The sequence below is a fragment of the Homo sapiens genome, chromosome 17 (assembly GCF_000001405.40).
Source record: "Homo sapiens chromosome 17, GRCh38.p14 Primary Assembly".
Classification (NCBI taxonomy): Eukaryota; Metazoa; Chordata; class Mammalia; order Primates; family Hominidae; genus Homo; species Homo sapiens.
Genome location: NC_000017.11, coordinates 10316892 through 10343340, shown reverse-complemented (window position 1 = coordinate 10343340; position 26449 = coordinate 10316892). Strand labels below are relative to the sequence as shown.

General features: G+C 47.7%; 1 protein-coding gene and 1 long non-coding RNA gene across 3 annotated transcripts in view, besides 1 other annotated feature; one reads left to right on the top strand and one right to left on the bottom strand.

Moving 5' to 3' along the window:
• The window catches only part of MYH13 (myosin heavy chain 13), a 72142-nt gene that overhangs the window by 29666 nt on the left and 16027 nt on the right, over positions 1–26449 (top strand). Inside the window, exons 17-27 of the mRNA NM_003802.3 lie at positions 2940–3013; positions 3104–3191; positions 10150–10267; positions 11119–11242; positions 12818–12954; positions 15220–15475; positions 19077–19319; positions 21633–21809; positions 22845–22990; positions 23098–23188; positions 24162–24551. Coding sequence (NP_003793.2) covers positions 2940–3013; positions 3104–3191; positions 10150–10267; positions 11119–11242; positions 12818–12954; positions 15220–15475; positions 19077–19319; positions 21633–21809; positions 22845–22990; positions 23098–23188; positions 24162–24551 — 1844 coding nt within the window. The remainder of the gene's footprint in view (positions 1–2939; positions 3014–3103; positions 3192–10149; positions 10268–11118; positions 11243–12817; positions 12955–15219; positions 15476–19076; positions 19320–21632; positions 21810–22844; positions 22991–23097; positions 23189–24161; positions 24552–26449) is intronic.
• LOC107985004 (uncharacterized) overlaps positions 1883–26449 on the bottom strand; it is a 49640-nt gene continuing 25073 nt past the window's right edge. Inside the window, exons 2-5 of one of the 2 annotated variants that reach the window (XR_007065617.1) lie at positions 25474–25843; positions 24792–24886; positions 22829–22949; positions 1883–2277 (exon numbers count right to left, since the gene is read on the bottom strand). This is a non-coding gene — a long non-coding RNA (uncharacterized LOC107985004). Of the gene's footprint in view, positions 2278–17999; positions 18499–22828; positions 22950–24791; positions 24887–25473; positions 25844–26449 lie in introns of those variants that run through there. The other variant, XR_001752791.3, reaches the window with a different exon arrangement.
• Positions 14431–14649: a silencer, noted in NCBI's record as "fragment chr17:10232009-10232227 (GRCh37/hg19 assembly coordinates)". NCBI's record gives its function as "represses an EF-1alpha promoter that drives an FKBP-Casp9 reporter gene in an ReSE screen in K562 erythroleukemia cells {active_cell/tissue: K562}" and the evidence as "EXISTENCE:reporter gene assay evidence [ECO:0000049][PMID:32094911]".

The window sequence follows — 26449 nt, the reverse complement described above, 5'->3', positions numbered from 1 at the left end:
CTGTAGTCCCAGATACTCAGGCAGCTGAGGCCGGAGAATTGCTTTAACCTAGGAAGCAGAGGTTACAGTGAATGGAGTTTGCATCACTGCCCTCCAGCCTGGGTGACAGAGTGAGACTCTATTAAAAAAAAAAAAATTTAGTGGTTTTTAGGATATTCACAATGTTGTGTGACCATCACCACTGTGGAATTTGAGAACATTTTTCACACCCCCGTAACCCATGAGCAGATTTTTTTTTTTTTTTTTTTTTTTGAGACAGAGTCTTGCTCTTTCTCCAGGCTGGAGTGCAGTGGTGCAATCTCGGCTCACTGCAGGCTCTGCCTCCTGGGTTCAAGCGATTCCCCTGCCTCAGCCTCCCAAGTAGCTGGGACTACAGGCGCACGCCACCACGCCCGGCTAATTTTTTGTATTTTTAGTAGAGACAGGGTTCCATCATGGTGGCCAGGATGGTCTCGATCTCCTGACCTTGTGATCCACCCGCCTCGACCTCCCAAAGTGCTGGGATTATAGGCACGAGCCATCATGCCTGTCCCCATGAGCAGATTTCTATCCCTAGCCTCTGGCAACCACTCATCAACTTTCTGTCCCTGTAGATTTGCCTATCTGGGCATTTCATGTGAATGGAATTATATACTGGATGCTCTTTTGTGTCTGGCTTCTTTCAGGTTACTGTTCTCAAGGTCTGGCCCTGTTGTAGCATGTATCAGGACTTTGTTCTTTCTTATGGACAAATAATAGTTCATTGTATGAATATATCACATTTTGTCTGCACATTCATCAGCCGATGAACTTTCTGGCTACTGTGCATGATGTTGCTATGAACATTTGTATAGAAGTTTATATGTGAATATATATTGGCAATTCTTTTGGGTATACACGGTATATATATACGGTACCTAGGAGTAGAGTTGCTGGGTCATATGATAACTGTGTTCAAAATTTTGAGTAACTTCTGAACTCTTTTCCAGAGTGGTTACACAGGGGCCAGGCGTGGTGGCTTACACCTGTAATCCCAACACTTTGGGACGCTGAGGCAGAAGGATCATTTGAGGCCAGGAGTTCAAGACCAGTGTGGGCAACATAGAGATCCTGTCTCTAAAACAAAATAAAATAAGATAAAATAAAATAATTAGCCAAAAGTGGTGGTGCACACCTGTAGTCCAGCTACTTGGGAACCTGAGCTGGGAGGATCACATGAGATTGGGTGGCTGAAATTGCAGCGAGCCATGATTGGGCCACTGTACTCCAGCCCGGATGACAGAGTGAGACCCTATCTCAAACAAATAAATAAGTAACACAAGCCAGTAACACTTTTTAAGATTACCAGTAAATATACTTTTAAATAGTAGCCAACATAGAGTTTTAACATTATATGCCATTTTAAATGCATACATTTAATAAATTAATAAAATATATGAAATATAATTATTCATTAGATAATGAGATCATTTTTTAAAAATGAAAGCCTAATGTCCTCTGGGCCAGGGAATGTAATAAATAGGAAATGGGCACATGCGTAAACTTCAATGATGAAAATCATTTTCTTTGAATCTAATCACAATGTCTCTGTAACTACATTGCATAACCTCGCCTAGAGATAACATCAACTCTAACATAAGACCCTGTGTGGATGCGGATTTGGGGAAGCGACTTTCCTGCCTTCACTTCCCCAATCCAAACACACAGTCATGCTAGACCCCGGGGACAAAGTGGGATGAAGGGAAAGGAACATGGGGGAGACTGGGACATGACATTTTCCCCCAAGGCTGCATCTTGATTAAGTATCAGAGAAAACTGAGTCATTCAGAAAAAGTAGACTCCAAATTAAGATGGCAAATTGGGTTGTTTCCTGTAGGAAAGAAAAAGAAATCAACTTATAAAATATTGTTGAGAAAATTCCGTTTTATTACTTTCAGTTACTTACTCTTTAGAGATAAGCAGGGATTAAAGAATAAAAGGAGGTAAATTCATGAAAGAAACTACAAACATTGCCAGGCACGGTGGCTCACGCCTGTAATCCCAGCACTTTGAGAGGCCAAGGTGGGCGGATCCCTTGAGGTCAGGAGTTCAAGACCAGCCTGGCCAATATGGTGAAACTCTCTACTAAACATCTCTACTAAAAATACAAAAATTAGCCAGGCATGGTGACGCTCGCCTGTAGTCCCAGATACTTGGGAGGCTGAGGCAGGAGAATTGCTTAAACCTGGGAAACGAAGGTTGCAGTGAGCCAAGATTGCACCATTGCACTCCAGCCTGGGCATCGCAGCGAGACTCCATCTTAAAACAAACAAACAACAACAACAAAAAGAATGAAAAAAAAAAAGAAACTACAAACATTAAGAGGGACATCTCAATCTTGCAAATTATTCAGTTTGCTTTCAGCTCTGATTTCTAAAGGAAAGGACTCCCCTTTTCTACTGAGAGTTTAAGTTATACTCCCAGTTAAATGCTATCCACACCCCATTCCCACCCCATTCCCACAATGATAAAGCTGAGGGTTCTTAATCCTGGGTAGTTTGGGGGCATTTTAAAAACAAACAGGCCAGGCAAGGTGGCTCATGCCTATAATCCCAGGACTTTGGGAGGCCAAAGTCAGGAGTTCGAGACTAGCCTGGCCAACATGGTGAAATCTCATCTCTACTAAAAATACAAAAATTAGCCAGGCATGGTAGCACACGCCTGTAGTCTCAGCTACTTGGGAGGCTGAGGCAAGAGAATGGCTTGAACCCGGGAGGTGGAGGTTGCAGTGAGTTGAGATGGTGCCATTGCACTCCAGCCTGGACAACAGAGCAACACTCCGTCTAAAACAAACAAACAAAACCTCAAGTCTCTTATGTCAAAAGGAAACCAGAACTCGGGGCTGGGAACAGGTGGTTCAGGAAGCCCACTGCTGGGTCCTCTGGGATGCATCTAACACGCTCTTCTGTGTCTGTCTCCAGGCGACTCCGGAGGAAGCAAGAAGGGCGGGAAGAAGAAGGGCTCCTCTTTCCAGACCGTGTCGGCCGTGTTCAGGGTTGGTGTTTTGGCAGCTTCCATATTCACTTGTTTTTCTCCCCAGTGAAATGGCAGTTGCTAAATGTGCTTGTTTTGGTTTATGTCCCAGGAAAATTTAAACAAATTGATGACTAACTTAAGGAGCACCCACCCTCACTTTGTACGATGTCTGATTCCCAATGAGACCAAGACTCCTGGTGAGTACCAGCAGATCTTGCCAAGTATTTGAACAGAACAGGACGCCCTGAGATAAATGCAAAATTCTGTGGGTGTGCGTTTGGAAAGAGTGATGGTCTGTATCACTTCTGAAAGTAGTCTCTGAAATAGGGTTGCCAGATTTAGCAGATAAAAATACCGGATGTACCCAACACAAAGAAATGATAAATGTTTGAGGTGACAGATATCCCAATTATGCAGATATGATCTTTGCACATTTCACGCTTGTATCAAAATATCATGTGTACCCCATAAATATGTTCAACTATTATGTAACCACAAAAATGCTAAAAACCAAATGCCATATTAAATGTTATTAAATTTCAATTTCAGTTAAACAATGAAAAATGTCTAAGTGTGACCTATGCAATATTTGGAATATACTTCCTCTAAAAAAGTATTCATTGTTTATCTGAAATTCACATTCAGCAGGGCATCTGTATCTTATCTGGCACCCCTACTACGAAATCATATTCAAAATATTGTGTGTATGTATATAGGCACATCAGAGCCACAGCTTTCATAAGATAAAGGCTCTGTTTACCCCAAAGTTAAATACCACTACATTTGGCAAATAATCATCTTGGGTATCCCATAATCAAAATAGCATCAATAACAACTGTTTGAAGCCATACTGCATGTCAATCACTTTGTTATATTACCTCGAATCCTTGCAACAGTTCTCTGCAAGATACGCGTATTGATCTCCAGTTTATAAATGAGAAAACTGAGAATCAGAGACTATATATAAATACAGAACCCTGTGCAATACAGACTATATATAAATATAGAACCCTGTGCAATAGAGGACTCCTTTAACTGTCACTTCATCCTGATTTGCGAATATTCTTGGAGTCTAGCTTTTTCAGTGTCATTTGTCACAAAAAGGAAAACAAACTGTCACACGGAGCTGTGGCTATGGGGTAGCTAACTCACCAGCTGAGCTGTTCTATGCCCAACACGGGCCTCCCAGCTCAGGATTAAACATTCTGCCTCTGCAACATTATGAGTGAACAGAGGTATACGTTGTCGGGGGGTTGGGGGGGAAAAGTTCACCTATTACCACGTGATCCTAAGCAGAGTATTTGAGCACTTTCTGCCTCAGCTTTCTTGTCCATAAAACAAGGATAGGCCGGGCACAGTGGCTCACGCCTGTAATCCCAGCACTTTGGGAGGCCGAGTCGGGTGGATCACGAGGTCAGGAGATCGAGACCATCCTGGCTAACATGGTGAAACCCCGTCTCTACTAAAAATGCAAACAAATTAGCTGGGCGTGGTGGCGGGCGCCTGTAGTCCCAGCTATTCGGGAGGCCGAGGCAGGAGAATGGCGTGAACCCGGGAGACGGAGCTTGCAGTGAGCCGAGATCGTGCCACTGCATTCCAGCCTGGGCGACAGAGCGAAACTCCGTCTCAAAAAAAACAAACAAAAAAAAAAAAAAAACAAGGATAAAAGTGGCATTTTAATCTATTATTTACTTCTTTAATAAGCACTCATAAAGTGGTTACTCACTTTGCAAATATTAGCTCATTTAACCCACCTTAGAGGGTTGTCGTGAGGGTTCAATGAGTAAGTGCAAGTCAAGCATTTACAACAGGGCTGAGCACATTGTGAACACCCAGCAAATGTTGGATGCTAATTATTATTATTATTATTATCACTCAGAACTATAAACTTTAAATCCCCAATAGCCAGGTGTGTTATAGTTAGTGAAACTGCATCTTCCATGAAAGTTAGGTTCTAAAGTCTAAGTCAAAAGCAATAACCAACTACATCATTGTGATATATGCATTATCTGGGGCATCCTGCAGCCTCCTGACCAATGAGCCGGCTTCTCCAGTGTTGGGAAGAGTGGTTTCTTTGGTTAAGAATCACACGAAATCATTGGCTTGTAGTAGGTCTTGGAAAATATCCATTTCTGTTACTGTCGTCGTTGAGTACATGTTTGCATAAATCAAACATGCTTGTGGCCTGACTCCTCTCTAAGCAGATGGCCTGCAAGGTGGTGGGGGATGGCTTCAAACTGTGCCTCTGGGAGGAATGCTTTTGGTAATCCACTGGCTTACTTTTTTTTCTTTTTTGAGACAGACTCTCGCTCTGTCGCCAGGCCGGAGTGTAGTGGCACGATCTCGGCTCACTGCAACCTCCAACTCCCTGGTTCAAGCTATTCTCCTGCCTCAGCCTCCTGAGTAGCTGGGACTACAGGCACACATCATCATGCCCAGCTAATTTTTGTACTTTTAGTAGAGATGGGGTTTCACCATGTTAGCCAGGATGGTCTCGATCTCCTGACCTCGTGATATGCCCACCTCAGCCTTCCAAAGTGCTGGGATTACAGGCGTGAGCCACCGCGCCCGGCCCTACATTTTCTTTGGGAAGGTAAATGTTGCTGAAATGTCTGTCCTTTCCTGTTGCATTTGCTTCTCCTTAGCTCTGGCACCTACCTCTCTGTTTTCATGTCAATTTCTGGGAATAGCCCAACACGAATACAGAAGCCTGGTGACACCTTAGAAAGCAGCTAGTGTGCCCTCTTTATTTTCTAGAAGACTAGAGACTATGGAGATTTCCATGCCTTACCCCAGGGCACCTAGAGCAGGGGCTGGGAGTCACGATCCATGATCAAATCTCAAGTCCCTCCCCACCCACAGGCACATACGGGGCTTGCTAGTTGTTCTCCCAAATCCTCTAGGACTTCACGGGCACAGGTCCTCTGCTCGCCTGCTGAACAAGGGCCCCTCGGGAGCAGGCTCCAGCCTCTACTCCTCTCGTTCTCCTCTTGCAGCAAACCTGGAGCCTGCTAAGTCTGTGCTGCTGACTCACCAAAAGCTGGCTTGCTGCTGTTTTTAAATGTAGGTTTTATTATTGTTAAGGGATGGTGAGGCCAACAGACCAGAAGATGGTTACCATTAAAAAGACAGTCACGCCCGGGCATGGTGGCTCACGCCTGTAATCCCGACATTTTGGGAGGCTGAGGTGGGTGGATCACCTGAGGTCAGGAGTTTGAGACCAGCCTAACATGGCGAAACCCTGTCTCAACTAAAAATACAAAAATTAGCCTGGCGTGGTGGTGCATGCCTGTAATCCCAGCTACTTGGGAGGCTGAAGCAGAATTGCTTGTACCCAGGAGGCGGTGGGTGCAGTGAGCCGAGACTGCACCACTGCACTCCAGCCTCAGTGACAGAGGGAGACTCCTTCTCAAAAAAAAAAAAAAGACACAGTGCTCAAGAGGAGGGGGCCTGCCACAGAGGGCCACGAGGGGAAGCACCAGAGCTAGGTTTGGGGTTGGGGGAGTAAGGAGAAATCACAGGCCAGAGCCTCGAGGGTCATTCCCATGGGATGGAGCAGGCGAGGTAGCATGAACAGGCCAAGCAGGTTCAGCATTGCCAAGTTTGAATGGTTTCAGCAGGCTTCAAAATGTAGGGACTTTCTCAAGTTGGCCGGTACCTGGGGCCCTGAGGTGACCAGGACAGGGAAGTATTGGCCCAGAGTGTAAGAGCCCTGTGAGAGCCTGATAAAGGTAGGGGTCGGGGGTTAAGGGCTTTGGATGGCTGGTTTGCATGTGAAAGACGTGCTTGCAGGAGGCTTTTTTGCCATCTCCTGGAATGGCTAGCCCCGGGAAGGGCAGTCTCTCCTGAGCCAGCGAGGAGGCCCCATGATGCCGGATCATCATAAGATACAGCATATTTCAAAAGCATGGCTAATACCACTGCCCACAGAGGCCAAGATGGCTGGAGAAAGGAGTGGGATGGAAGTGATACACTTGGAGAAATAAAGAGGAAAAACCCTTCAGCGGCTGGAGCAGAAGGATGAGAGAATAGCTCAGGGGAATTTTTAGAAGTTTTACGCATTGGTACAAAAGCAAAGGAGGCCCTTTACGTGGACCTGATAGAAAACATCTCAGGCCGGGTTTAAGGAAAAACAAAGCAAGCCCTAAGAGAACTCAGCTCAGGATTCTGAGTCTGCACAAACCAGAGGGGCCCTGTGAGAGAGAAGAGTGGCGTCTCGGCTCTGCTACAGCTTTGCAAAGCCCTTCACCTCTCTGGGCCTCAGTCTCCCCCAGTGCCCCGCCACCCCATAGGATGCCTCTGCGGGAATTAGAAAAGATCTCCCAGTCCAAGTCGGACACGACCCCTAACAGGATGGACAGCCTGGCAAGCATGGTGGCATCTCTGGCCTCCCCACTGTAAAATGATGGTCCTTTCAGCTTTCTTCTGGCTCTAGAAGCTTCAATTCTCTTGTAACTATGCCTTTTTCTCTCTGCTCCCGGTGCTTAAGAAGAAAGAGGCCTCAGCCACATGGTTAAAGCAAGTGTTAATCATGCCTGCTTTCACCATTTTAACCTTTGTACTCATCTTTTCTCTCTCTCTCTTTTTTTTTCAAGACAGGGTCTCACTCTGTCGCTCAGGCTGGAGTGCAGTGGCGCCATCTCAGCTCACTGCAACCTCTGCCTCCCCAGTTTAAGCAATCCTCCTGCCTCAGCCTCCCGAGTAACTGGGATTTACAGGGACGCACCACCACACCCAGCTACGTTTTCATATTTTTAGTAGAGAAGAGGTTTCACCATGTTGGCCAGGGTGGTCTCGAACTCCTGACCTCAGGCGATCCGCCCACCTCGGCCTCCCAAAGTGCTGGGATTACAAGCGTGAGCCATCGCACCGGGCCTGTACTCATCTTAACTCATGTAATCCTCAACCACCTGATGAAGCAGATACTACAGGTTGATTATCCCTTTATCTGAAATGCTTGGGACCACGAGTGTTGTGAATTTTAAATTTCTGTGGATATTGGAATATTTGTATGTGCCTAATGAGCTATCTTGGGGATGGGACCAAGTCTAAACACAAAATTCATCTGTTTCATATGGGTCTTATACACATAGCCCTAAGGTAATTTTATACAATATTTTAAATAATTTTGTACGTGAAACAGTTTTGGCTGCGACCTGCCTCATGAGGTCAGTCGTGGAATTCTCCACTTGTGGCATCAGGTTGGAGCTCAAAAGTTTTCAGGTTTTGAGTTTTCTGAATCGGGATGCTCAACCTACATTATTATCCTTATTTTACAAATAAAGAAATTGAGGCAGAGACAGGCCAAGTCCGCGAAGCTAGTAAACAGCATAGCTGGGATCTTAACCACTCAGAATCATCATCTGAGAGCTCATGGGAGTCGAATTAGACCATTGCTAAGGTTCTCTCCACATCGGCGGTTCTATGAATTTTTTAATTATTGTATTTATTTATTTATTTATTTATTTGAGACTGAGTCTTGCTCTGTCACCCAGGTTGGAGTGCAGTGGCACAATCTCGGCTCACTGCAACCTCCGCCTCCTGGGTTCAAGCGATTCTCTTGACGCAGCCTCCCGAGTAGCTGAGACTACAGGCACCTGCCACCACGCCCGGCTAATTTTTGTATTTTTAGTAGAGATGGAGTTTCACCATGTTGGCCAGGCTGGTCTTGAACTCCTGACCTCAGGTGATCCACCCACCTCGACCTCCCAAGTGCGGTGATTACAGGCATGAGCCACTGCACCTGGCCAGTTCTCTGAATGTCTGAGACATTTTCTCCTTGCTCTCAACCATGTTTTCTCTAGAGAATCACCACCTGATAGGACTTTCAGAAATGATTAAATGCCCCATGTCTGCACTGTTCAATAGGGTGGCCACCGTTACATGAAATGTTTACATTTACATGAAAAGTTTTAAAATGTTAATTAATTTTTAATTTTAATGAATTTAAATGTAAATAGCCACATGTGGCTGGTCACTACGGTATCTGACAGTGCAGCTCTACCAAAGCCTTAAAAATCATCTAATTGTATAGTGATGTCTCCCCACAGCTACCAGGGAACCACGTGGGCATTCTAGAAGCTTCCCTAAGGTTAAGTCAAAGCCAGCCTTGGCCCCACCACTCCCACCCCGGCAACTTAGGGAGCCCACAAAGAGAAGCCATCAGGTTGCCGTAGCCCCTGTCCTCTAACCCCTCACGCAGACCTGAGACAGAATTTTCTCCATCCTAGTTTGATTTGTGCCTGACCCAGGCTGGTTACCACGAGCACCCACATTACCTCCCCAAAGGGGCTTGCCCCTCTAGCTCCTCTCCTTCCAGCCAAGCTCCATTTCTCCCCCAATTCCTATAGCAGGGGCTGAGTGGTCAGCAGATGACCGCCGCCCTACCTTCAACCCCCTTCTGGGTCCCCTCCCACGGCCTCTTCTTTTTTTTTTTTTGAGGTGCAGTTTCACTCTTCTTGCCTAGACTGGAGTGCAGTGGCTCAATCTCAGCTCACTGCAACCCCCGCCTCCTGTGTTCAAGTGATTCTGCTGCCTCAGCCTCCCAAGTAGCTGGGATTACAAGTGTGTGCCACCACATCTGGCTAATTTTTGTATTTTTCTGTAGAGACTGGGTTTCACCATGTTGGCCAGGCTGGTCTCGAGCTCCTGACCTCAGGCGATACACCCACCTCGGCCTCCCAAAGTGCTGGGATTATAGGCATGAGCCACCGCGCCCAGCCGGCCTCCTCTTCTTTGCTGGGTTACTCTTCTGCAGCCACAGCCTGCAGATTTTTCCATCCCCATCTTTGTGTAGATGCAAGAAGACATCTCGGGTTATCCCATGGGAAGCCCAAGTGCACCCTGTACTCACTCTGCAGCTTTTGCAGCCTTGCTGCAGAGTCAGGGCTGAGGACAGAAAGCACAATGCTTTGGCTCTTACTGCCACGGTTATGGGGTGCTAGCATCTCCCCAAGAGGGTGGGATTATTTCACTGCGGGACCTGCAGGCAGGCTCTAGCCACCCCCAGCCCTCTACCTTGGAGCTGGCACTGACTCTCCCACTCACTGACTCTCCCACTCAAGTGTGGATGTGTTGGAGGGTCTCATGGTGCCTCAGACCATCAACAACAAATGAAGGGGTCACAGGCACACCCCCGGGACGTTCTCTCTCCAGGTGTGATGGACCACTACTTGGTCATGCACCAGCTGCGCTGTAACGGGGTCCTCGAGGGCATCCGGATTTGCAGGAAGGGATTCCCCAGCCGGATCCTCTATGCTGACTTCAAGCAGCGGTAGGTTCCCTCTCTCCTGTGCATCTCTCTCCTTCCGAGGGCACCTTTTGCATTTCCCTAAGACATTTCTTGACCTGGGTATTTGGTGAGCTCCCAAGTCCCCCAGAGTTTCCACAGACTTCATCTCTTGCTAGAGGAACTGATCCCATGCCCACAGTGAGTGGGCCAGCCCAAGTGGTTCCAAATTCAGATCCCAGACCCTCTAGCCTGATTGTGACTCTAGACCAGGATGTCTCAACTTCTGTACTATGGACACTCAGGCTAGATCATCCTTTATTGTGGAGGCTGTGCTGGGTGTGGGAGGATTTTAGCAGTAACCCTGCCCTCTACTCAAGAGATGTGGTAGCAAACCACACCCCTCCCCACTGAGCTGTGACAATCAAAACTCTCTAGACATTGCCAAATCACACCCAGCTGAGGCCCGCAGCTCTAGACTAACTCTCTCCTCTGAGCCACCATTGGGTTGCACAAGTCCGGGCCTTGTCCAGGATGGAGGACAGGAGAGGACCTTCCAGAAGTAGGAGAACCACGGCCTACAGGTCACGGTTGATTTCAAGGCCTCTTTTAAGCCAGAGAAGAACCATTTCCTCTGAAAGCAAACTTCCCGCCATGCACTCAGCTGGGCTCCCTTCTTTCATGCTTCTCTCCCACCCACCTTGCTTCTCTCCCAAGGGGGCTGATTCAAGCCCCCTTGCTAGAATCAGTCCCTAGCTATTCCCATCTCCCAGACCAGCTGTACAGTATTCCACTTCCTCCTAAGGCTTGAGCAGGAGAAGATTCTAGAAGGCTGGTCTCAGCTATGAAGCCTTTCGGGGATTGGAATCCATTTGGGAAATGTCCTCTCTCCTTAGGTACCGGATCCTCAATGCCAGTGCTATCCCTGAAGGGCAGTTCATTGACAGCAAAAATGCCTCAGAGAAGCTCCTCAACTCCATCGATGTGGACCGGGAGCAGTTCAGGTTCGGCAACACCAAGGTGAGCACAGGCAAGGCTGGGACTCCCCTAGTAACCCCACAGCCCTGGGCTGCTTCTTAGCTGATCAGAAAAAGGGTCCCCTTCTCCTTTTGGTCCACCTGACCGTCCTTGCCCAGTCGCCCAGGTAAGGGGAGCTCTGTGTCTAGGTAGACAGAGCTTGTCTCCCTGTTGGTTTGTAAGTGGCTGAAAGCTTAGATTGGAAGCCTGAGCCCCACCATGCAGCAAGGATAGGAAAAGCCAATGGGGAACTCTAGTGTCCCAGAGGTAAGAAAGAGCTGAAGAGAGAGGAGAACATAGAGAGGACTCCAGGGACACTGAGGCCTTGAGGAGAATGACTATAAACAATAAAATCAGCTACCAAGCGGGGCGCAGTGGTTCATGCCTTTAATCCCATGCTTTTGGGAGGCTGAAGTAGGATTTCTTGAGGCCAGGAGATGGAGGCTGCAGTGCGATTGATCATACTACTGCACTCCAGCCTGGGCAACAAAGTGAAGCCCTGTCTCAAAAAAACAAAAACAAAGACAAACTAGCTGCCATTTATTGAGCACGTGAGTATCAGCCCTGTGAGAAGCCTCCTGCACGTACTTCACTGACTCCTCACTAACCAGCGAGGTGGGAGTGATGGTGATAAGGGTGGCACTTACTCATCAGGTTCTTGGGAGGTCGAGAAACTTACTCAAGGTCACACATGGATAGATAGTAAGTGGCAAAGGTCAGCTTCAAATCCTGGCCTGCCTCCAAAGATCCACATCTCAGAAACGGGCAGGCTGGGGGTCTCCAGCAAGGAAGAGCCTGCTGGCCCCAGAGGGTGCTTAGTTTCCCTGGAATGTTATGGAGGGAGTGGGCGAAGTGGGCCTGAGCATGGGACCAACCTTCCCAGATGGACAGAAGAAGAGGGTGAAGCCAACGCATCTGTGAATCTCTCTGATCTGGGCACAATTGCGTCCCATGGTTTCTTTCTGGACTCATCTTTGTTTCCTGTATGTGAGCTCTGTCAGAACTGATCTCTGTGGGTTGGTGGGGCCTGGAACACACGTTGTTTTTGTCGTTGTTGTTGTTGTTTTGTTTGTTTGTTTTGTTTTGAGACAGAGTCTTGCTCTGTCACCCAGGCTGGAGTGCAATGGTGCAATCTCTGCTCACTGCAACCTCCACCTCCCAGGCTCAAGTGATGCTCCTGCCTCAGCCTCCTGAGTATCTGGGATTACAGGTCCCCACCACCACGCCCGGATAATTTTTGTATTTTTAGTAGAGATAGGGTTTCACCATGTTGGCCAGGCTGGTCTCGAACTCCTGACCTCAAATGATCACCTGCCTCGGCCTCCCAAAGAGCTGGGATTACAGGCATGAGCCACCATGACCAGCTTGGAACAGACTCTGGACCAGGCTGCCTCACTGCCCAGGAGGAGCCACTGAGGAGACCAGAGCCACCGAGAAGCAAGTCCTGGAAACAGAATTGCTGCCCCTGCCGTGCTCTGAGAGTTGAGCCTCAGAGTTGAGCAGAAACAGGCCCCCTCAAGGGCCCGGCTGAACGCCTGCTGGGGAAAAAGATCAAGGCTCCTCTGTCTTTTAATGCAGGTGTTTTTCAAAGCTGGGCTCCTGGGACTTTTGGAGGAGATGAGAGATGAGAAGCTGGTGACGCTGATGACAAGCACGCAGGCGGTGTGCAGGGGGTACCTGATGCGGGTGGAGTTCAAGAAGATGATGGAGAGGAGGTGACACAGACCCTCACCTCCACCTTATCCTGCCCTCTCTGCTTAGCAGCTGATTGTCACTTCCTGCTTTTAGTCTTGGGATTTCCATGTGCTTGCTCTCTTTCCTTCATTTGTTTAACCCACATCTACTGAGCGGCAATCCTGGGCTGGGTGCTCTGCATGGCGCTGGGGAGACAGAAATGAACCCTCCCTCACAGGGTCACAAAGGAGTGGGAAGCAGACGCATGTATGGCTGGTTTTAATGCCTGTGACAAGCTCAATGTTCGAGTTATAGTCGGGGGATAGGGAACTGGCAAGAATAAGCCCCCAGCCTGATTAGGGGGTTGGAGTTGGCATGAAGGTGTCAGCAAGAAGAAAGCACTTTCTTTTTTCCTTTTTTTTTTTTTTTAGACAGAGTCTTGCTCTGTCATCCAGGCTGGAGTGCAGTGGCACAATCTCGGCTCACTGCAATCTCCAGCTTCCAGGTTCAAGCGATTCTCCCGCCTCAGCCTCCCTAGTAGCTGGGATTACAGGCATGCACCACCACGCCCGGCTATTTTGTTTTTTGTTTGTTTGTTTTGTTTTGTTTTAGAGATGGGGTTTCACCATGTTGGCCAGGCTGGTCTTGAACTCCTGACCTCAGGTGATCCGCCCGCCTTGGCCTCCCACATTGCTGGGATTACAGGCGTAAGCCACTGCGCCCAGCTGACGAAAGCACTTTCTGAAGCAAGCTCTACACAACCTGAGAGTGGGTGGTCTGGGAGGAAGCCCGACAAGCAGGTGGCTGTCATTGGAATAGAGAGCAAGAGGCAGGTAGTGGAGGTCCCTATGTGTCACATTCAGAAACCCAGGCTGCACCCTGTCATTGATGGAGAGCTGTAGAAGGTGTGTGCAGAGACAAGGGGTAGGATTGCATCACTCTGGCAGCTAGGAGAGTGAACACAAAGGCTATGACGGGGCAAGGCCACAGTGTGGTAGAAGTCCAAGTAAGGGATGACAAGGACCTGAAGTAGGACATAGTTGATGGGTGAGAGAGGAGGGCATGGATTAAAGGAATGTTTAAGTCTTTTTCCTTTGATAATTCAAGAGAAGGAATAGCAGCATTGATGACTAGTCACCTGCAGGGATTGGAGGGAGAGGGGAGTGTGGGAGGGAGCCTGTTCTCCCTGGTTCCCTGATCCCCTGTGTGGCTCTAACTGTCAGAGCCATAATGAACCGCCACCATGTATGCGTCAGGAATCACTCCCAGGCATCGAGCTTGGTGAAGCACATGGAAGCCAGCACGGAGATGAAAAGAATCTCAAGAAGGGAAAGAGAAGCCAGTGTTCAGGAATCCATAAGCTATGTAAATATAAAGCTGTGGAGGGTGAAGGGGAGGAGATCATGTGGGTGACACTGGGATGAAAACAGCAGCAGAAATTAGGAATACAGGCTGGTTGTGGTGGCTCACGCTTGTAACCCTAGCACTTTGGGAGGCCAAGGCGGGCAGATCACCTGAGGTCAGGAGTTCAAGACCAGCCTGACCAACATGGTGAAACCCAGTCTTTACTAAAAATACAAAAATTAGCCAGGCGTGGTGGCGCATACCTGTAATCCCAGCTACTTGGGAGGCTGAGCCAGAAGAATTGCTTGAACCTAGGAGGCGGAGGTTGCAGTGAGCCGAGATTGCACCATTGCACTCTAGCTTGGGCAACAGAGCAAGACTCCATCTCAAAAAAAAAAAAAAAAACGAATAGAAAAGAAAGAAATTGGGAAGACAGATCAACTCTACCAGGGCAAGAGACTGGGAAATGACCAAGGACAAGTCCTGGGTTTCTCCAGCAGGAAGAGGAACCCCATATGGCAAAATGCAGTGAAACAGGGAAAATGTGGATGGAATTTAAGGCAGAGAAAGTTTCAAAAGTTAAGAGCTGATTAATACATCAAACATGGGAGAAAGACCCAATAGAATAGGAATGAAAGCTATTCCTTGCATTGAGCATTAGGAGGTCACGGACGCCCTCAGGCAGGGCACTCTCAGTAGGGTGGTGGGAAGGGCAGCCAGGTGACCAGGAGCCCGCAGGTAGCTCCACGCCCTCTCCTACCTTCCAACCTGTGCACGTACCTCTGTTTCCTCTGCCCCTCATTTGCAGACCTACTCTGGATCCAGAGGATCTGCCAAGCTTGGCTGCACCTCCTTCCCACCTAACCGAGAAAGACGGAGGATGGGGTCCGTCGGGGACAGGTTGGGGGTGCAGAGACCAGACCTTGCTGGATTTATTAATTTGAGTCCTAATGGGTGTACAGGGACTCCATCTTCTGCATCCAGTACAACATCCGCTCTTTTATGAACGTCAAGCACTGGCCCTGGATGAACCTGTTCTTCAAAATCAAGCCCCTGCTGAAGAGTGCAGAGGCCGAGAAGGAGATGGCCACCATGAAGGAAGACTTTGAGAGGACCAAGGAAGAACTGGCCCGATCTGAGGCTCGCCGGAAGGAGCTGGAGGAGAAAATGGTCTCCCTCCTGCAGGAGAAGAATGACCTCCAATTGCAGGTCCAGTCTGTAAGTACCTTCTACTTGAGAACGCAAAACACAGACTCTGGAGGACAGAAAAGGGGGAGGAACATTGAGGGCGCCATCAGGTGTCTATTCGAGAGACAGTGGTGCCACCCAGTGGTCATGTGGAGTATTGCAGCACCACCTTGCTCGTAAAAGGATGCCTGGTCCCGGGCTTAGCAAAGCAGTGAATGCCGGAAATTATGTCTGCAAAGAGAATTTGTGCTCTCCCTGATTTCTCCCCGTCATCGCAGAGTTAGATATATTTTGCTGTGGGCATGAGGGATATATATGTGTCATATGTATATGCACCACAGCTTTTAAAAATCAATAAAAATAAAAATAATCAAAATTAAATAACCCAATTCAAAGTAGCAAGAGTAATTTTCTATATATTATTTACAATAATATGTAAAAAGTGCTTTAGGCCGGGCGTGGTAGCTCATGCCTGTAAGCCCAACACTTTGGGAGGCTGAGGTGGGAGGATCGCTTGAGCCCAGGAGTTCAAGACCAGCCTGGGTATCATGGCAAAACCCCATCTCTGTAAAAAAATTTTTAAAAACTAGCAGGCGGCCGGGCGCGGTGGCTCACGCCTGTAATCCCAGCACTTTGGGAGGCCGAGGCGGGAGGATCACGAGGTCAGGAGATCGAGACCATCCCGGCTAAAACGGTGAAACCCCGTCTCTACTAAAAATACAAAAAATTAGCCGGGCGTAGTGGCGGGCGCCTGTAGTCCCAGCTACTTGGGAGGCTGAGGCAGGAGAATGGCGTGAACCTGGGAGGCGGAGCTTGCAGTGAGCTGAGATCGCGCCACTGCACTCCAGCCTGGGCGACAGAGCGAGACTCCGTCTCAAAAAAAAAAAAAAAAAAAAAAAAAAAAAAAAAAAAAACTAGTAGGCATGGTGGTGCATGTCTCTAGTCCAAGATACTCAGAAGGCTGAGGTGGGAGAATCACCTGAGCCCAGGTAGTCGAGGTTGCAGTGAGCTGAGAACATGCCACTGCACTCCAGCCTGGGCAACACAGTGAGACCCCGATCTCAAAAAAAAAAAGTGCTTTAAAGATACATAGTTTTATCAAAGAAATGGGGCAGTATAGGCTGGACGCGGTGGCTCACACCTGTAATCCCAGCACTGTGGGAGACCGAGGCGGGCAGATCACAAGGTCAGGAGATTAAGGCCATCTTGGCTAACATGGTGAAACTCCGTCTCTACTAAAAATACAAAAAAAAAAAAATTAGCCAGGTGTGGTGGCACACGCTGGTAGTGCCAGCTACTCAGGAGGCTGAGGCAGGAGAATCACTTGAACCCAGGAGGTGGAGGTTGCAGTGAGCCGAGATCGTGCCACTGCACTCCAGCCTGGCAACAGAGCAAGACTCCGTCTCAAAAAAAAAGAAAAAAGAAAGAAAGAAAGAAAAAGAAAAGAAATGGGGCAGTATAATTGTCTCTTTCACAGAGTGAAGGCATTTATAATTTTCCCTTTTTAATAAATCCCCAAATACTTTTACCTTTTGTTTTTATACAGAGCATTTTCCGCTCCCCTTTTCACTTTCCCAATCACTATAGTGAGTTAATAGGAGCACTTTCCCAGGTACAGCGGACAAGAGAACAGCTCTTGGAACAAGATAACTGGGTTTCTATCCCAGATGCTCCACCTGATAGCTGTGTGACCTTGGATGAGCTACATATCCTCTTTGTGCTTCTGTTATCTCGTCTGTAAAATGGGCATAGTCAGAGTACTCACCTCATCCAGCTATTGAAAAATCAGAGTGGTTAATGCCTGTAAAATGCCTGGCACACAGCTCATGTTTATAGATGTTCAGCAAACATTAGCATGCAGGCTTGCCAGTCTCCTCCCATGCATTACCCTGCAGTGTGTGTCTTAAAATACTCTTATATGGGCCGGGCGTGGTGGCTCACGCCTGTAATCCCAGCACTTTGGGAGGCCGAGGCGGGCGGATCATGAGATCAAGAGATCGAAACCATCCTGGCCAACATGGTGAAACCCCCTCTCTTCTAAAAATACAAAAATTAGCTGGGCATGGTGGTGGGCACCTGTAGTCCCAGCTACTCAGGAGGCTGAGGCAGGAGAATCACTTGAACCCAGGAGGCAGAGGTTGCAGTGAGCCGAGATCGCGCCACTGCACTCCAGCCTGGCAACAGAGTGAGACTCCGTCTCAATAAATAAACAAATATATAAATAAATATTCTTATATGGGAAGATATAGCCCGATTTAGAACAGAAGTAGCTGATCTTGGTCTGTCCAAGAGACTCACTGCAGCATCTTCTGGGACATATGTATTCAATCACGAATTCTTGGGTGTTTTTAATTTTCTGTTCTGTGGTTCGAGGAGACACAGCTAAGGAGACATAGGTAGAACTTTTCTGTTGAAAGGACCAGGCCTGGTGGCTCATGCCTATAATCCCAACACTTTTAGAAGCCAAGGCAGGAGGATCACTTGAGCTCAGAAGCTCGAGACCAGCCTGGGCAACATAGTGATACCTTATCTCTAGAAAATAAATAAATCCATATATTTAAAAATAAATTTAATGAAAGTTAAAAGATAGTAATGTTTTGAAACTATTTTGTCAGCTTGAGATAACATAGAGTAGATGAGTCATTTTCCAACTGGTGGTAGCAGGAAGAGTGAGATAACCAGCTGTTCAAATGTGGCAAATTTCTAGAGGCTTCATTCTTTAAAATGAACTTGTAATTTCACAAACTCCTCTGTTTGAAATTATTATAAGTGAGGCCAGGCATGGTGGCTCACACTTGTAGTCCCAGCACTTTGGGAGGCTGAGGCAGGAGGATCACTTGAGGCTCAAAGTTTGAGACAAGCTGGGAAACACATGGAGGCCCCATCTGTACACACACCAAAAAAGAAGCCAGTCATGGTGGCACATACCTTGTAGTTCCAGCTACTTGGGAGGCTGAGGTGGGAGGATCACTTGAGCACAGGAGTGTGAGGATGCAGTGGGCTACACTCACACCACTGCACTTTAGCTTGGGCAACAGAGCAAGCCCTTGTCTCTAAAGAAATAAATGAACAAATTATTATATGCAAATTTCTATAAGCAATGTTCTTGCTAGTTAAAAAAAAAAAAAAAAAAAAAAAACATGTATATGGACCAGGTGCAGTGACTCATGCCTGTAATCCCAGCACTTTGGGAGGCCGAGGCGGAAGGATCACCTGAGGTCAGGCGTTTGGAGACCAGCCTGGCCAACATGGTGAAATCCCATCTCTACAAAAAAATACAAAGATTAGCCAGGCATGGTAGCACATGCCTGTAATCCCAGCAACTCGGGAGGCTGAGGCAGGGAATCGCTAGAACCTGGGAGGCAGAGGTTGCAGTGAGCAAAGATCATGCCGCTACACTCCAGCCTGGGCCACAGAGAGAAACTCCATCTAAAAAGAAAAAATGTGTTTATGGGTGATATCTAAGTTTATGTACACGTGTGTGTGCAGTGTGTGCACATGTGCGTGCATGTGTGTGCATGACCCATTTCTTGGCTTAGGTGTAGATAATAAGCTTTTAGAGGGTGATACCCTTTCTTTGTAGCATTTTCAAAGAGGCCAATCAAAACATAAAATGACCTGGTTCTTTCAGGAAACAGAAAATCTGATGGACGCTGAGGAACGGTGTGAAGGACTCATCAAAAGCAAGATCCTACTGGAAGCAAAAGTCAAGGAGCTGACGGAGAGATTGGAAGAGGAAGAGGAGATGAATTCTGAATTGGTTGCCAAGAAGAGGAATCTGGAAGATAAATGCTCCTCTCTCAAGAGAGACATTGATGACCTGGAGCTGACCTTGACGAAAGTTGAAAAGGAGAAGCATGCCACAGAGAACAAGGTGAGCAAACCCAAGGGACTCCCACAGTGTCTTAACAGGCTTCACTCTCTCTCTCTGTAAGGAGGAGAAAGGGTGGCGTAGGAGTCCAGTCAATATAACATTGCCCAGAAATGAGAGGCTGGCGTCAAGGTGAAGGGTAGTTAAGTCCCAACAAGTTCTGTCCTCTGGTGTCTTTTCTACCCATAGACTCTTCTTCTTCTTCTTCTTCTTCTTCTTCTTCTTCTTCTTCTTCTTTTTTTTTTTTTTTTTTTTTTTTTGTGAGATGGAGTCTTGCTCTGTTGCCCAGGCAGATCTCGCTACAGTGGTGCCATCTCAGCTCACTGCAACCTCCGCCTCCCAGGTTCAAGCAATTCTCCTGCCTCAGCCTCCCAAGTAGCTGGGATTACAGGCACACACCACCATGCCCAGCTAATTTTTTGTATTTTTAGTAGAGACGGAGTTTCACCATGTTGGCCAAGCTGGTCTCGAACTCCTTACCTCAGGTGATCCACCCACCTCGGCCTCTCAAAGTGCTTGGATTACAGGTGTGAGCCCGGCCCCATAGGCTCTTCTCAACCCTCCCTGGCTGTATCACAAACTTCTAGCATTTCTTTGAGAGGAAGGACTGTTTCATATTCTTCTTCAGTTCCCATAGCACCAAGCACAGGGATTGCAAACAAGAAGGCCTACAGGGGTCAGGCAGATAGTGAAGGAGGCAGAAGACTGGATAACACCAAGGATTGACTGAGAGGAGCGGGTACCGGCAGGACAGAGACTGATGCAGCCTTTGGGAAAGTTATTTGGAATTACTCAGTCAAATTAAGAATCCAGATACCCTACGACCCAGCAATTCTGCTCCTGGGTGTATAGATCAAGGAATTCTTCCACCTGTCCATAAGGCGACATGTCCTAGGGTGTTTGTAGTGGCATTGCTTGCGGGAGACAGCTGGAGGCAGTGCCAGGGTCCACCACGGGGAAAACGGAGAACTAAAATGTAGTAGATAACACAGCAGGGAGCACTACGTAGCCATTAGGAGCAATGGCGTGTGCACACCAAATATTAAATACCTACTGCTAAACGGTGGAAAAATGTAAGAAAATGAAATATAGGGCCAGGTGCGGTGGCTTATGCCTGTAATCCCAGCACTTTGGGAGGCCAAGGTGGGCAGACCACGAGGTCAGGAGATCGAGACCATCCTGGCTAACATGGTGAAACCCCGTCTCTACTAAAAATACAAAAAATTAGCCGGGCGTGGTGGCGGACGCCTGTAGTCCCAGCTACTCAGGAGGCTGAGGCCGGAGAATGGCGTGAACCCGGGAGGCGGAGCTTGCAGTGAGCTGAGACTGCGCCACTGCACTCCAGCCTGGGCGACAGAGTGAGACTCCCTCTCAAAAAAAAAAAAAAAAAAAAACAACTGTAACATTGTAAATGATAACATTGTAAACCACTATGTGGACTAAAGAAAATATGGCCAGATTCAGCCCATAGATTAGGAGTTAGCAACTTCTGATCTGGAAGCCTGTTGGATGTGGAAAAAGGTTTCACTTACTTCCTTCAAGTTCCGTGTTGGGTGCCCTCCTCCTGCTTCCTGATAACACAGCACTCCCGTTCTGAATTTTCTTTCTTTCTTTCTGTCTTTATTTTTGAGACGGAGTCTCGCTCTGTCACCAGGCTAGAGTGCAGTGGTGCAATCTCAGCTCACTGCAACCTCTGCCTCCTGTTTTCAAGCGATTCTCCTGTTTCAGCCTCCTGAGTAGCTGGGACTACAGGTGCCCACCACCATGCCTGGCTAATTTTTTTTTTTTGTATTTTTAGTAGAGACGAGGTTTCACGATGTTAGTCAGGATGGTCTCGATCTCCTGACCTCATGATCCGTCCGCCTCGGCCTCCCAAAGTGCTGGGATTACAGGCGTGAGCCACCGCGCCCGGCGTGAATTTTCTTGCGTAGGACCTCACGCCTCTCCTCCCCTTCCTGCCTCATTCTAAACCCTATTCAGCCAACCTAACAAACACATTTCCACAGACATATTATGAGCGAATATAGATTGATGTTTTACCCTTCAGAGGTAGCACATTTGCATTTTAAAAGCGCCCTTCCTTGTAAAATATAATGCCCTCCTTAAATGAATAATCCTAATGGGAGAATTTGAGGCACCATGATAGACCGTTAAGGAAGATAAAGAACTGAGAGTCTGTCAATTCTAGGAGGTAAAAAAGTAGTAGCCAAAAAGAAAAGGGAAAAAGGAAAAATGAGCAAAGAAGCAATAGCTTTTGTTGATGGAAGCTTCTGGCATAATCGTTTCCATATTAAATCGGTGTTAATATTGTCCCAGGTAAAGAATCTTTCCGAAGAAATGACAGCACTTGAAGAAAACATTTCCAAATTGACCAAAGAAAAGAAATCTCTACAGGAGGCCCATCAGCAAACACTGGATGATCTTCAGGTGGAAGAAGATAAAGTCAATGGTCTAATCAAAATAAATGCCAAGCTTGAACAGCAAACAGATGATGTGAGGATATTTTACTACTATGCTTTAGCATTTATCACTTGTGGAAGCACAGACAAGAGACAGTCTAACTAGGACACAGGGCTTGAGAGGTCAGACTCTGGAATCAGCATCCCTAAATTCAGATCTCAGCCCCACCCTGACCCTGAAGGAGTCTGGGATACTGAGCAAGCTGCTTACCCTTGCAAAGCCTCAGTTTGTGCCTTGTGAAATGGCGATGTAAATAGCTCCATCTCAGAGGGTTTTCACAGAAAGCTCAGCACACAGAAAGTGTTCAGTAAAACATAGCTGCTACTATTGCTATCATCACCATCATCATTATTATTAGCATCCACTTGTAGGTCCTTTGGGTTCCAAAACCTCCAATCCTGTTGTAACGTTACTAAAGATGAGTTCCATTTGTGGCCATGAAAATTACTATTTCTGCCCCCGTCACATGACATTATTGTTCTTGATGTAAGAGCCACGTTTGAAGTTTTCAGGTTTTACTCACTATTGTGGCTAGAGATTTTCTAGATAACTTTAATGTTTCTGAGCCCAGGGTAGGTGTGCTCCTCCTCTACACCCTTTTCCTGTTCCTATGTATGCATGTGTGTATGTGCACACACATACACACACACGAATTCCTTGCCTCCCATGGTTGCATAATGTTAGCAGGCAAGGCGTGATGGTGTGTAGCACAGACCTTCACAGTGCTGTCCACAGAAGCCCCCATTTGTATTGTCTGTGCAAGAGTGTGCACCCATGGGTACCATACCCCTACAGGGAACATAGTCTGGGCCAGGCCAGGTGGGAATCAGCTGAGAGAGGCACCAGGAGGCCCCTGAGGGATCCAGCCCCACCCTGGGTAGTCTTTTCTGGAAGACAGAAGAGAGGGGAGGTAGGGGCAAGACTTGCTTCCTCCTGGGGCCAGAGGCTTGCAGCCAGCACCCTACAGGAGCCCCAGGAAGCCCCAGGCCACGTGTATGGCTACACTGGATAAACGGGGCAAACACTTCCCCAGCAGGGGCTTAATTTTCTACCTGTGTGTCTTCTCAGCTTGAGGGTTCCTTAGAGCAGGAGAAGAAACTGCGGGCGGACTTGGAAAGGGCGAAGAGGAAGCTGGAAGGAGATCTGAAAATGTCCCAGGAATCCATTATGGATCTAGAAAATGACAAGCAGCAAATAGAAGAGAAATTGAAAAAGTAGATATTTCTTTTACCACCTCTGTGTCTCAGCCTAAAAGCCAACTTTCACCCCCTCCAAGAGGCTTGTATTTCATGTTCTTTATTTTTTTTTAATCTATTTGCAGGAAGGAGTTTGAACTCAGTCAGTTACAAGCCAAAATAGATGACGAACAAGTCCACAGTTTGCAGTTTCAAAAGAAGATTAAAGAACTGCAAGTAAAAGCATCAAAACCTTCCCAATCATGACAATCCCTTTGCAAGAGCGCCCCTCCTCACTCCTTCCCCCTTGTTTCTTTAGCTGCTTCTTTCCTTCCTCCTGCTAAAGCTAGAGAAGATGTCCTGTCATTTCCTTTAGTTTTTGAAAATAATATTTTAATGTTCTGAATAACCCATAAACATACTTCCTTGCAAAGGCTCAAAATAGGCCCAGTAAAGCTAAATATTATTGTTAAGGGTGCTTTGATCGCCATCCCTAAGCCCAGTGCCCTCCCCGTCTTCTGAGAATTAATTGCCAATTTCACTGGGATGTGCATCTTTCTGCCTCTTTTGCTATGTGTTTTTGTACACATTTAAGACTCCCCAAAAAATATATAGTACACATGCAGAAAAGGTTCTTGTTTCTTCATATTCTTAGCATATCACACTGAGAGTATCACTCTGCAATTTGCTCCTTTCTTTTGGCAACATGATCTGCAGAGCTATCCATGATAGACGTGGATTTGTGTCTACCTGCTCCATAGACTTCTAGAACAAGTCTCCATCACAATCGATTTGTGCATTCTCTTATCCATGGACACTTAGGTTGTTTCCAAGTTTTTTCACCAATTTAATGTTATAATGTATTCTTCTTTTTTTTTTTTGAGACCGAGTCTTGCTCTGTCACCCAGGCTGGAGCACAGTGGCACAATCTCAGCTCACTGCAACCTCCACCTCCCAGGTTCAAGCTATTCTCCTGCCTCGGCCTCCCGAGTAGCTGGGACTACAGGCGCCCGCCACCACACCCGGCTAATTTTTGTATTTTTAGTAGAGGCGGAGTTTCACCATGTTGGCCAGGCTGGTTTCAAACTCCTGACCTCAAATGACCCACCCACCTCATGCTGCCTACCCGCAATTCCTCAACACCCAGCCCCTCTCAAAGGGGGCTGCCCCCTCCTCCACAATAACATTCCTGATAGAGTAATCCTTTCAGGCCCGCATAGAAGAGCTGGAGGAGGAAATTGAAGCGGAACACACGCTCAGAGCCAAGATTGAGAAGCAGCGCTCAGATCTGGCCAGGGAACTGGAGGAGATCAGCGAGAGGCTGGAAGAAGCCAGTGGGGCCACTTCAGCCCAGATTGAGATGAACAAGAAGAGGGAGGCTGAGTTCCAGAAAATGCGCAGGGACCTGGAGGAGGCCACCCTGCAGCACGAAGCCACAGCAGCCACCCTGAGGAAGAAGCAAGCAGATAGTGTGGCCGAGCTTGGGGAGCAGATTGACAACCTGCAGCGGGTGAAGCAGAAGCTGGAGAAGGAGAAGAGCGAGCTGAAGATGGAGATTGACGACATGGCCAGCAACATCGAGGCTCTCTCCAAGTCAAAGGTACCTGACTGGCCCTTCTGCTCTTGGAGAATGCAAGGCAGCCGACGGCCACCTGCCCCTGGGCACGTGTAATTTGATGCCTCCAAACCACTGCATGTTCTACACTGAAACCCTCTTCCCTATTTCTGCCTGTTTCTAGTTCCTCAAATTTACTCACGTCCTTTGTCTTATCCATTTGTGCTTCTGTAACAAAATATTTTAGACTGGGTAATTTATAAACAACAGAAATTTATCACTCACAATTTTGGAGGCTGGGAAGTCCAAGATCAAAGTGCCAGCAAATTCGGTGTCTGTCGGAGGCCTGTTCCTCACAGATGGTGCCTTCTCATTGCATCCTCATGTGGTAGAAGGGGTGAACAAGTTCTCTCAGGCCTCTATTATAAGAACACTAATCCCATTCATAAGGGCTCCACCCCCACGACCTTATCACCTCCCAAAAGCCCCACCCCCCAACACCACTGGACTGGAAATTATGAATTTTGGGGGGACACAAACTTTCAGACCAAAGCATCAAGATCACTTGATTCAAGCACAATTGGATGATCTGGCACCACTGTTTCGCTCTTGTTCCCCAGGCTGGATTGCAGTGGCGCCATCTCAGCTCACTGCAACCTCTACCTCCCAGGTTCAAGCAATTCTCCTGCCTCAGCCTCCCAAGTAGCTGGGATTACAGGCACACGCCACCAGGCCTGGCTAATTTTTGTATTTTTGGTAGAGTTGGGGTTTCACCATGTTGGCCAGGCTGGTCTTGAACTCCTGGCCTCAGGTGATCCACCCACCTCAGCCTCCCAAAGTGCTGGGATTACAGGCATGAGCCACTGTGCCTGGCCGATTGGGGCTCTTTAAGAAAAAAGTATACAAACTTATAAAAATTAGGCATGAAAGTTGATATTTAAAATGAGACAAAAAAGTCGCAGGTTACCTTGAAGACTCAAGTTCTTTTCTCCTGAGGCCTCTTTGGGCCATTTGCCAGAAATGCCTTCTAGAATATTCTGCTTGTGATGGCTCCTCTTCCCTTGAACCTTCTGCAGCTCCCAGACTCTCTGTGGCCCATGCAAATGCGGGCCCTGAAGCTTATTTCACAAGCTTCATAGTGAACCCACCTCTGTGCATGGCCTCAAAGCAAAGAATTCCTCGTGGAGCATGTGTGCTCCTCGATTTAACACGTGCCCTCCTTGCAGGGTGCTCTGAGCTGTACTAGGAGCTGTTTGGCTAGACTGGAAGAAGCAGTGGTGACCCTAGAAGCGAGGCTGTGGGCCTCTCACCGAGGGTTTCCCGGAAGGTCAGGGCATCTGTCCAGAAAAGGAAGGGAGATATGAATCAGAGAACTAGAGTGGTCTCTCCAGCGCCCCCTGCTGCCAGTGTTTAGGGTCTGCGTCCACGCAGCCCTGTGCCTCCTTGATTGCTTCTTCACTCCGCGACTGCAGCCTCTGGCTCCGGCTGATGACTCCTTTTCTCTTTCTTTCCTGCTTTCCCATGTGTTTGCCCTTTTTCCCTTGGTTTTCTTTCTTCCTCTAAGAACTTGGTTCTGTAAATGTTCCCCTCCCACACCTCTCTCTCGGCGAGCCAGGCCAGCCTGCAGGGGTAGCTGGGTAGGAAGGGCCTCCAGCATCCCCCATACACTATGCCTATAAACAGCCCCCACTCCAGCCTCCCTATCTCCAGAATTGCCGTGTGCTGCTCTCTGTTCTCAATTTTAACATCCAGGGGAAGCAGCACGTCATGTCTCTTAACGCTTTTTCAGTTGTCCCCTTTGACGATTCTCCTTGCAAGCTGCCATCGCGTTTCAACTCTCCCTGCTTTGATTCCTTCATGTTTGCGTGTCATCTTCTCAAAGAGATCCTAAGCTCCTCCAGGACGCCCGTGGAATTAGTGTCCCTGCTTCCTCCACTGCCATC